At 48.4% G+C, this 11,614-nt stretch overlaps 2 long non-coding RNA genes across 3 annotated transcripts in view; both read left to right on the top strand.

The window, feature by feature from the left end:
- Positions 1–1,408: 1,408 nt before the first annotated feature.
- Positions 1,409–7,114, top strand: LINC01227 (long intergenic non-protein coding RNA 1227). 2 transcript variants are annotated; one of them, NR_104665.1, is made up of 4 exons: positions 4,607–4,992; positions 5,321–5,410; positions 6,104–6,269; positions 6,458–6,662. It is a non-coding gene; the product is annotated as a long intergenic non-protein coding RNA 1227 (long non-coding RNA). The 2 variants fall into 2 exon arrangements; NR_104666.1 differs by lacking the exons at positions 4,607–4,992; positions 5,321–5,410; positions 6,458–6,662 and adding exons at positions 1,409–1,583; positions 6,701–7,114.
- Positions 7,115–11,081: 3,967 nt separating this feature from the next.
- DYNLRB2-AS1 (DYNLRB2 antisense RNA 1) overlaps positions 11,082–11,614 on the top strand; it is a 407,178-nt gene continuing 406,645 nt past the window's right edge. The window contains exon 1 of the long non-coding RNA NR_120307.1: positions 11,082–11,188. This is a non-coding gene — a long non-coding RNA (DYNLRB2 antisense RNA 1). The remainder of the gene's footprint in view (positions 11,189–11,614) is intronic.

The following is an 11,614-nucleotide window of genomic DNA, read 5'->3' as shown; positions in this document are numbered from 1 at the left end:
CCAGACATTGCCAAACTTACCCTGGGGGCTAAAATCACCCACCCCTGTGAGAACCCCTGCCTTGGCCACACTCACTGCCAGATTCACTGAACATGGTGCATGCACTATTCACACTCTGGGTTTCCCTTCACTGAGTAGCAGACAAAGGCAGGGAGGCTCACGTGGCTGGGGGGCTGCAATCAGCCTGTGGTGGCCAGTGTTGTTGCCTTTGGAGGATTGGCACCCAGCTCACCATTTCAGCCAGCAATTATCTGAACAGAAGTGCTCTAATTGCCTGAGGATCGGGTTTCCTCTGGGGGTCATTTTTTTCAAGTCTCCTGTTGTTGTTTATTTATACTCATCCCAATAAAAAGCATGTGCTCAGCTGCATAGAGTGTTAATGACTGGTGGGTCGCTCCAGATAGCGCCTGGGGAGGCGTCTGCAAATTCATCCTCCAGAGGTTTCTCATCCGCTGGATCTGCTGGCAGGGCCCTGGTGGGTCTGAGGTGGGGTGTGTGTGTGTGTATGTGCATATGTGTGTGTGTGTGTGTACACTGAGAAATAGGCATTTGTTGCCTCTCTAAGTTTGCACTTGTAATAACACAAGCGTCTCCCCCAAGGAACTTTCTTTCTTCTTGTCTGGCCACTAGACTGGGTCTCTGCCAGCTCAGACTTCCTACACCCCATGCCAGGCCCCTGCATCTTTCAACTTGATTCTTGGGGTGCTGAGACCCAAGGCAGTCCCAGCTGGCTCTCCCCCAGCAGGGGAGCTAACGCAGTTAATGAGGAAGACACACTTGTGTGTAGGACTTCATGGTGAACAAGCCACTTTCTCATTGGTCATCATCATGATAAGGATATTAAATAAGTCATCTTTATTCAACACTGACTCTGCGCCAGCCACTATATAGGGCTGCGTTCCTCCTTTCATTCATTCATGCATGCATGCATTCCTTCATCCAAACTGATAAATATTGAGTGCTGCCATAGCCCAGCCATCATTCGAGTGCTGGGGGACTGAGAAACAACTGCCTCACTCCCCGCATCAACCACACAATTGTAGGCAAAGAAATAAATAAATGAATAAGGTAATTTCAGTTACTGATAAATGGTAGAGATGAAATAAACCAGGGGAACGTGATAGAGATTTGCCAAGGACAGAGGGGCTTTTTTTTTTTTTTTTTTTTTTAACATGCAGATGTCATCAGAGAAGACCTCAGACCAAGCCCTTAAGGGCAAATGACAAGAAAATTCCTGGAAGAGAAACAGCCCAGAAAAATGCCTGGAGGTGGCAACATGGGTGAATTGCTCAAGGAAAAGAAAGACGTCCAGGGTGTTTAGAGTCTAGAGAAGTGGGGGCAAGAGGGGGACATCGGAGGGAGGGTGTACTCAGAGAGACTAGGAACTGGACTTCTTCAGCCATGTTGAACAGTTGGAATTTTGTTCTAAGGATGATGGAAGCCATTGGAAGGTTTTCTTTGCCAAAGTGATGTGATCTGATAGAAGGTTTTATGAAGCCCACGTTGTCTACTGTGCAGAGAATGGAGTAACAGGCCAAGAGGAACCGTAGGGAGACCAGTTAAGAGGCAGAGACAGTGAAGAGGTGGGTGAGTTTCCCATTGCTGCTGTAACAAGCTTACCACAAATCTCATGTGGCTTAAAAAACACACACACGCATATTTATTATCCCATGGTTTTGTAGGTCAGAAATCTGACATGGGTCTCACTGGGTTAAAATCAAGGTGTCAGCAGGATTGTGTTCCTTCTGGAAGCTCCAAGGGAGAATCCATTCCTTGCCTTTCCCAGCTTCTAGAGGCTGCCTGCAGATGCAGGTTGTGACTTCTCGCTCATCTTGAAAAACAGAAATATAGCATTTTCAAATCTCCCTCCTCCTGTCTCTCTCTGTCTCTCCCTCATCATCACCTCTACAGTAACTCTGACCCTCCTGCCTCCCTTTCCTAAGGACCCCTCTGATTACATTGGACTTGATATAGTTTGGATCTGTGAGCCTGCCCAAATCTCATATTGAAATGTAGTCCTGAGTGTTGGAGGTGGGGCCTGGTGGGAAGTGACTGGATCATGGGGGTGGATTTCTCATGAATGGGGACAGTACCATCCCCCTTGGTACTGTCCTCTCGATAGTGAGTGAATTCTCATGAGATCAGTTCATTTAAAAATAGGGAGCGTCTCCCTCTGGCTCTCTTGCTCCTGCTTTCGCCATGTGGGGCGCCTGCTCTCGATTTGCCTTCCACCATGAAGAGAAGCTTCCAGAAGCCTCCCCAGAAAGAGATGCTAGCATGCTTCATGTACAGCCTGCAGAACTGTGAGCCGATTAAACCTCTTTTTTTACAAATGACCCAGTCTCAGATGTTTCTTTATAGCATTTCAAGAATGGACTACCACCGGGCTCATCTAGACAACCAGGATAATCTCACTATCTCAAGGTCCTTAGCTTAATCACATCTTGACAGTCCCTGTTGCCATGTGAGGTCACCCAGTCACAGGTTTTGGAGATTTTGGGTAGTGGGCACCTTTGGGGCCTATTATTCTGCCGATCCCAGGAAATGAGCCATGATGGAGGCTTGGATGGTGCCAGTGGGACTGGAGAGCGTCCACTGGGGATTTATTTTGAGGCAGAACCACAAAGACTTGCTGATGGAGGATGTGGGGCTGTGAAGGAAAGCCCAAAATGGAGAAGATGCCCTTTACTGAGATGGGGAGGGAGGGCAGGCTTGAGTGGGGAGGAGAGGCTGATCAAGGGGTTTTGTGGCCATGATTATTTTGTGGCCCACTGGAGAGTTGAGGGGACATGTCCAGGAGGCAGCTGGATGAACGAGCCTGGAGTCAAGGACAGAAGCTGGACTAGTGATGTGAGTGTGGGGGTCTCCAGCCCAGAGGCAGGATGTAGCCACAGGACAGGACGAGAGCACCCATGATATCAGGAAGAACAGAAGGTCATGGGGTTTCAAAGATGGAACCAAAGAGCAGAAGCCAGCAAAAGTATACACCACTCCTAAAACACAGATCTGACCTCATCACCCAATGCCTAGACACTTCTCTCCTCTCAGCAGTTAGTTTCAACATCAGCACTTGGGGATAGAGATGGTCCCCACCTTGAGTGATTGCTCACTCTATGCCAAAAATAGTGCTAAATTCCTTACATACATTATTGCATTTCAGACCCCCTTTTTTCCCTTCCTCCTTCCCCATTTTGGGGGAAGCGTGGGAGTGATGGAAGTAGGTTGACTGTGGAGGGTGGGAGTGATGGGGGTGGGGTTGAGTGTGGATGGAGGGAGAGTGGGGTGGGCTTGAATGGGGAGAGTGGGAGTGGTGAGGGTGGGGTTGAGTGTGGAGGGTGGAAGTGGTGAGGGTGTGATTGAGTGGGGAGGGTGGGAGTGGTGGGGGTGGGGTTGAGTGTGGAGGGTGGAGTGGTGGGGGTGGGGTTGAGTGGGGAAGGTGGGAGTGGTGGGGGTGGGGTTGAGTGGGGAGGGTGGAGTGGTGGGGGTGGGGTTGAGTGGGGAGGGTGGAGAGGTGGGGGTGGGGTTGAGTGGGGAGGGTGGGAGTGGTGGGGGTGGAGTTGAGTGTGGAGGATGGAGTGGTGGGGGTGAGGTTGAGCGGGGAGGGTGGGAGTGGTGGGAGTGGGGTTGAGTGGGGAGGGTGGGAGTGGTGGGGGTGGTGTTGAGTTGGGAGGGTGAGAGGGTGGACTAGTGGGGGTGGACTTGAGTGGGGAGAGCGGGAAACCACTTAGCCTTTGTTGATTTTTCCAGCCAAGGCAGGAACTTTGTCTTTTTATTAAGATCAAAAGGAATGCATGAGGGGTGTGGACAAGGGCTGGCGGGCTGCAGGTGGAAAGTGCATGCAGTGGGAACGTGCAGCCATGAGGTCCAGGGTGCATTTTAGAGAGGACGGGTTGGAGGTCATGGTGTGGTCTGGAAGAAAGGTCAGGAAATGGAATCATGGTGTTAGTGGTTTAGAAAAGTGGTCCGATGCCAGAGGCTAAGTTACTTGGCTTGGTTCACACATCAGCAAGTTCAAACCGAGTTCAGTTGTGCTGCGAAGCCAATATGCTAAGTCACCATAATTTAACAACAGGTTTCCCCTCAAGGTATCATGACATTATTTTTTTGGGTCTCAACCAACTAGCATTTGTCAAAGAGAGATGGAGAGAGAGAGAATGAAAAGAAGGAAGGAAGGAAGGAAAGAAGGAAGGAAGGAAGGAAGGAAGGAAATAGAATAGAATAAAATCACAGTTTATTTCACGGAGTGAAGGAAGGGTTGCTGCGTGCAAATGTGTTTCTGTGCTGTATGCTTATCTGCAGATGGATGTACCGGGCTGTGATATGAAACCTATTTTTATGGCTGGTTGTGGCTCCTCTGAGCTGCTATTGGGTTTGCCCTCCACCCCCTCTCACGCTGACTCTGGGCCCTTCAAAATGAGTCATAGAGAGTCATTACCACTCCCCCCGACCCAACCCTGACTCTGCTGTACACCTCATGGTTTCTGATAATACAGCATTGTGAAGTCGGGGGAAGGCTGGCAGAGGGGCCCAGTCTAGTCTGTGACCTGAGCCATCATGGTAGGGTGTCCAGGGTGAGGGGAGGGTGGTGTGAATCCCCAGTAATGCAGGTCCTTTCCAGGCCAGGCCCCTGGTCCCCAGGAGTGCGGGGATGCCTGAGGTCTACTGCTGCCTTATCCAGAGCTGCCATCCCCGGCGATGACTCAGAGTTCCTGTGGCCCCAGCATCATCCCTCCATCCCTGGCTGTGAGGCAGGAGCAGAGTTGCAGACCTGAGAGGCCTTGAATTTGTTTGATATAGGACTTTGCCACCAGACAAAGTGCTTTGCCTGTGAGGTCTGGCTTGGCCTGGCCTCTGAGAAAGAACAAACACAGACCTCACTGGAAGGAACCTGGAGAACGGGAGAGGAGAGGCTGCTGCTGTCTGCCCTCCCAGCAGCAGATATAAAGACAATGGGCTTCTAAGTCCCCTAGAGTCCCAGCTGTGTAATTTAAGGCGAGTTCATCTCTCACAGCCTCAGTTTCCTCATTTGCTGGCACCTGTCTTTCTCCTTCATAGCCATTGTCACTGTTGCAATGATATCAACAATGCTTACATTTCAGATAGATCCCCAGCTGGGTTGAAAGGAACGTCAAGACCCTTCCTTTCTTATGACCTATGTATCAACTCCCTTCTACCTTGCCTCCCTCCACTTGGAGCGAGTTCTAGTTGGTGAAATGTAGCCAGAGGTTCCTGGAAAGGCTTTCCTTCTCAAGTAAAGCCTGGCTCAGAGAAAACCACTGGTCTCTTTCCTTTTCTTCCTCCTGACATGAACATGGGGCAGGAAGGAGCATGGAGAAGACAAGAACAAGGCTCTCAGAAGGAAATGGTGTGGCTGGAGCCATGAGAACTGGTTGTGGAGGGGGTGAGGAAGGTGGGAGAGGTGGGAGTGTGGTTGAGTGGGGAGGGTGGGAGAGGTGGGGGTGTGTTTGAGTGGGGAGGGTGGGAGAGGTGGGGGTGTTGTTGAGTGAGGAGGGTGGGAGAGGTGGGGGTGTGGTTGAGTGGGGAGGGTGGGAGAGGTGGGGGTGTGGTTGAGTGGGAAGGGTGGGAGTGGTGGGGATGTGGCTGAGTGGGGAGGGTGGGAGAGGTGGGGGTGCGGTTGAGTGGGGAGGGTGGGAGAGGTGGGGGTGTGGGTGAGTGGGGAGAATGGGAGAGGTGGGGGTGTGGTTGAGTGAGGAGGGTGGGAGAGGTGGGAGTGTGGTTGAGTGGGGAGAATGGGAGAGGTGGGGGTGTGGTTGAGTAGGGAGGGTGGGAGAGGTGGGGATGTGGTTGAGTGGGGAGAATGGGAGAGGTGGGGGTGTGGTTGAGTGGGGAGAGTGGGAGACGTGGGGATGTGGTTGAGTGAGGAGGGTGGGAGAGGTGGGGATGTGGTTGACTGGGGAGGGTGGCAGTGGTGGGGTGTGGCCTGGAGATACAGCAGCCACTTTGGGACCATGAGGATATTTGAAAGACATGAAGAATAGAATGATAGAAGCACGTTTGTGACATTGTGACATACAGCAGACTTTATGCCCACCTTTTGATTTCTTACCTATTTAAACACTGAAATCTGGTCTTTTCCTTGTAGGCAAATATAATTTCTGACCTACGTAATGATGTATGCACAAGAAGCCTCTCTTGAATGTATTAATTCAGTAAACAGTTATGGAGTCCTTACAATGTGCTAGTGGGACTTTGAAGATGAATCCAAATTTGGATCCTGGCCTGGAAAGGCTCAAAGCCCAATATGGGAGGTAAGAAATGTAGAATCCATATAACGATGGGGTCTCCCCGCCCCTTAAGATCTAGTTATGAGTAGCTGCAATTCCTGTGAATTCCAAGGTAGTTTCACCACCTCAAGTTCACCTTTAGATCTGACTTCTGGCTTCTTTTAGGAAGTTCCCATCTCTAAATCTCATCTCTGTTCCTTTATTTCTGCCAGCCTGGATACAAATGTGAAACTTATCTTCTTTTATTAACCAATCAATCACCTCCTGCCAAAACAACATCAGCAAAAACAACAGAAAAAAACAAAAACAAAAACAAAAACAAATCTGTGTACACAAGACCTTTGTTTCCACAGCAGACTTGGCTAAAGGTTTGGGCATGCATATGCATACCCCCAAAATTAAAAATGGAAAATTGAACACTTCTGTCCTTCAAAGTTATTTGTTCTCTCCTACAGGGTCTCACTCTTATCTTCGTTCTTCTCCCCGCACTCCCACCACCTTACTTACTCCCATGGCATGCTACATCCTTGAATAAATATGCCCAAGGCAGATGTGGTAATGAAGATTGGTTGAGAATTCTGAAGGCAGACGTCCCAGACGCCAATCACACAATTTCTCTGTGGCTCACTTTTCTTATCTGTGAAAAGGGAGCTAGTTACCACCAGCCCCAACCCCAATCCTCTTCCCACCTCACAGAATGGGGAGAGGATTCAGTGGGCAGTCCCTGGCATAGGGGTCACAGAATCTACACCACCAAATATCATTCATATTCTAATTCTGTATTCTGTGTCCCCTATTGCCCCAAGATAAGTTCATTTAAAACAAAAAAGCTTCTATCTCAGGTAGAAAACCCATCATCACTGGGCATTGTCTTCCAGTGATTCTGAGCAGAAACAAAGGGGAACGTATGTCTTCATTGTGACTCAGCGAGCAAAGAGATGGAGTCTTTTCCAAGAAGAAAGTGGGAGATTTGGGACCACTGACATATTTGGCCCACTGATTCCATTCCCCTAGACCAACACGTGTTCATCAAATTGCATCACTCTTATGGGGAACTTAATGCAACTCCGGTGCCCATTGCATTAGTTTTTGATGATGGAATTCTCTTTGTGAACTTGAACTTGAGGGGTCTGGCTACCCCTCTGAGACTTCTTTTTTGAGATAAAATCATATAACATAAAATTCGCCCTTTTAATGTGTACAATTCAGTGGTTTTTAGTGTATTTACAATGTCATGCCACCATCACCACAATCTAATTCCCAAACATTTTTATCTCCTTAAAAAGCAGCCACTCCCCATTCCCCCATCTGCAGCCCAGGGCAATCCCTAATCTATGTTCTGTCTCTGTGGCCTCTCAGAGACTTCTGGCACCAGTCTCTCCAGTCCATGAGCTGTGAACTCCCTTTTTAGCACATTTGGCCCTGACACCTGCCATCTTACCTTTGCTTCTGGACACCCAGATTGAATCTTCCCTAAAAACCAACTTTGCATTGTTTGCCCAACATTTGAACCTCCTTCCTATATTTGTGTAACTGCTCAGTGTATGACTCATTTTCGGAGGAGTCAGTGGCCATCTTTCTCTATTAAGGCTCAAGAAGATAGATTCCTGCTTTCCCAGACTTCCTTGCAACGAGTCCTTAGATGGGTGTGCTAGGCTCAAGCTCAACCAGTGACTATGAATCTGGAGCCAGTGGCCTGAAAAGTCAGGGGTAGTGAAGAATCTTTGCTGTTAGTGTGGTGGTAGCAGTAGTAATGTCAAAGGCCTACTGGCAGCAGGGCTGTGGGCCCATGGCAGCGGGACCATGCTCAAGTGGCACTAATGTCTGCATTGGGCTGGCTGGTTCTGATTTTGGCTGTCTCTTAGACTCTCTTGCTCCTGGGCACTGTTTAAGCTGGTCCTCCAGCCTTCTTGGCTATTGAGTGAGCTAGATCCTATCTTTAAAATAGATTTTCTTTCAATTAAAATCATCCAGAGTTGGTTTCCATGCTTGCAGTTAAGGACCCCATCTGGAAGAAGTATTTTATGAGTAGAGTCTTAACCAGAACGGGTCATAGGGTTTTGCCTCAGAATACTGCAATTAAGAGGGCACCATATTTTGAAGCTTGAACTCCCTCCCCCATGCTCTTCCTTATTCCTGTTGCAGTGCTGAGCTGGCCTCTTCTTCTGAGACCAGTACCTCAGCAGCAGGTGAACAAAGACAGAGATGGAGACTTAGGATCAAAGGCACTGAGTGCCTGACCAGGGGTCCCTCTGTGAGGCAGGAGAACAAGCCCCTCCTCTGTTTCTTTGAATTTCCTTGTTTAGAAACTGAATTTCTGGGCCAGGTGTGGTGGCTTACGCCTGTAACCCCCGCACTTTGGGAAGCTGAGGCGGGTGGATCACCTGAGGTCAGGTGTTTGAGACCAGCCTGGCCAACATGGCAAAACCCCATCTTTAATAAAAATAGAAAAAGCAGCCTGGCATGGTGGTGGGCGCCTGTAATCCCAGCTACTCAGGAGGCTGAGACAGGAGAATCACTTGAACTTGGGAGGTGGAGGTTGCAGTGAGCTGAGGAGCTGAGATCGCACCGTTGCATTCCAGCCTAGGTGACAAGAGCAAAACTCCATCAAAAAAAAAAAGGAAAGAGAAAGAAAGAAAGAAAAAAGAAAGAAGAAAGGAAGGAAGGAAGAAAGAAAGAAAGAAAGAAAGAAAGAAAGAAAGAAAGAAAGAAAGAAAGAAAGAAAGAAATTGAGTTTCTGGCTGCTTGTTGTGGGTTGAATCATGTCCCCACAAAACACATGCTGAAGTCACATCCCCAGTATCTAAGAATCTGACCTTCTTTGGAAATAGGGTTGGTGCAGATGTAATTAGTTAGGATGAGGTCACACTGGAGTAGGGTGGGCTCTTAATCCAGTAGGGCTGGTGTCCTAGTAAGAAGAAGGAGGATGACACAAAGACAGACACACAGGGAGAATGCCGTGTGACCCTAAGAGCAGAGGTTGGAGTGGTGCCGCTACAAGCCTGGGATTGCCAGCCACCACCAGAGCTAGAAAGATATAAGGAGGGATTTTAGCTTCAGGAACGATGAGGAGCATTTACGTTGTTTTAAGCCACCCAATTTGCAGTAAAACTCAAGGAAACTAAAACATCTTTTGAATCCAAATTCCTGGCCATAGCTCTGCTTAACAGGACATCCTTGGAAGCAGACAGAATGGGGTTTGAGTCTCAGCTCTGTTACCACCTGCTGCATGGGTTCGGAGGTAAGCTGTTTACCTCCTTGACATCTCCATTTCCTCATCTGCAAATCAAAGATGAACATAGCTTCTTCAAAGACTGTTAAACATTTAGAGGAGTGCACGGCACATAAACGGCAACTATTAATATGAAAGAACTGCTTCCTGTCAGTATCTGGCCCTGATGGTCGCTTCCTGTTGAGGGAAACAAGTCTAAAACCTGCTCTTAGAATACAGATCAGTGCCACGGATTATTCAGTTACAATGAATTTTCTTTTTTTAAGAAAAGAGATAATTCCGCGTTTGCTATGTTTTTCCTTCCTATTTTTAACATCTATCTGTACTTTTAGATTATGGTGCAGGTAGCCCTCTTTCCCAGGAAAAGTGAGTGCTTCACAAGGGGTGCCCACTTTTGCCCAAGGACAGAGCCTCCTCCAGCCAGCTAGGGTAGAATGGGAGAGGGTGCAGGTGCTGCCCAGGCCAGTAATCTAGCTGCCGATCTGGGGGACACTCAAAGCAGCTGGTGGCTTTAATATCCGCTCTTCACAGCTTCATCTCCACTCGAGATGGCTGTGCTGATTGTAATGCAATAAAGCTGGAGTTTTGCGGGGAGAATGCTGTCCCTGGTTATTTCATTTAGAAGCCATCGTAATACTCTTCAGGGAGAGATAAGAGTGATTTAAGTAATTCAGGGCTCCAGGAGTCCAGGACATTTATGGTTCCTTCTAACCCTGGGGAATTTTATGATTTGAGGCCTGTGGCCACAGAGCAAAGCCAGCCTGCTGTTGATATGGGGAACAGATTTAACAAGTGTGAGCACCTGTCGGTGCCAGGTGATTTATACACAACTATCCATGTTTACCTTGCAACAATCTTTAGGGAACATCGGACCAGGTACCCTAGAAGTGGACCCTGTATAAAGATTCCTATGGATGGGCGCGGTGGCTCATGCCTGTAATCCCAGCACTTTGGGAGGCTGAGACAGGCAGATCACCTGAAGTCAGGAGTTTGAGACCAGCCTGGCCAACCTGGTGAAACCCTGTCTCTACTAAAAATACAAAAAGTAGCTGGGCATTGTGGCAGGTGTCTGTAATCCCAGCTACTCGGGAGGCTGAGACAGGAGAATTGCTTGAACCTGGGAGGTGGAGGTTGCAGTGAGCCGAAATCATGCCACTGCATTCCAGCCTGGGCAACAGAGACAGATGCTGTCTCAAAAAAACAAAAAACAAAACAAAACAAAAAAATCCTGTGCATGTGACTTATTAAGGAGGAACTCCCAGGGAAAACTGGCAGAGGAGAGGGGGAGAGGGGTGAAAAGAGAGAGAAGCCCAAGAAGAGTGTGATTTCAGGCCGAGACCTGTGGAGGGGAGCTTGAGTTTGCTCCTGCAGGGGAACCCTGGAGCGTACAGTGCACCTGTCCTGCATGCCAGAAAGCTGGAGTTCCATACCCCTGCACCCGACAGTCACTGGCTCTGGGCCTTGAGGCTCAGCATAAATAAACTCCCAGGCACCTGTGGTTCCCATCTGTGCCTGTAAAAGGCTTTAGCAACCCAAGGGCAGTTGGATGCAAAAATACCCAAGGCCAGCAGATGAACATTGAGCAGGAATAAACAGAATACAAGGACATCTGGGTGGAAGTCACCAGTGCCTGCACATGGAACTATGAAGATCACCATTTTTCAGATTAAGAAACTGAGGCTCACATTGTGAAATAACACTCTCTGGAAAGGTGAGTGGCCGGGTCTGGATTTGAACCTATGATTCCAGAGTGTTTGTTTTTTCCACTGAGATTGCTGGATTGCTGGTATCTGGGGACCAGTGGCTGAAAGCATTGACTTCTCTGGTTTCTTTTTCCTGTTAAAAATATTTATGTTAGTTTTTATGCCTAAAAAAGCAATAAATAGCAATGAGAACAAGTGATTTATGGCTCCAGCATAATATGGACAAATCTCACTAGAGTTCTGATGATTGAAAGAAGCCAGACACAAAAGAGTGAGATTCTCTTTATACCAAGTACATACACACACACACACAGAGAAAAAATTCTTCTCTGGTGATAAAAATCAGGCTCTTGGTGACTCTTGGGGGTGGGCATTAGGGACCGAAAGGGAGCCCCAAATGTACCTTTTTGGAGCTGGTCATGTGTAGGGTCTTG

Source organism: Homo sapiens, chromosome 16 (assembly GCF_000001405.40).
Source record: "Homo sapiens chromosome 16, GRCh38.p14 Primary Assembly".
Lineage (NCBI taxonomy): Eukaryota > Metazoa > Chordata > Mammalia > Primates > Hominidae > Homo > Homo sapiens.
The sequence above is the reverse complement of the archived record's forward strand: the minus strand, read 5'-3'. Positions and strand labels throughout refer to the sequence as shown.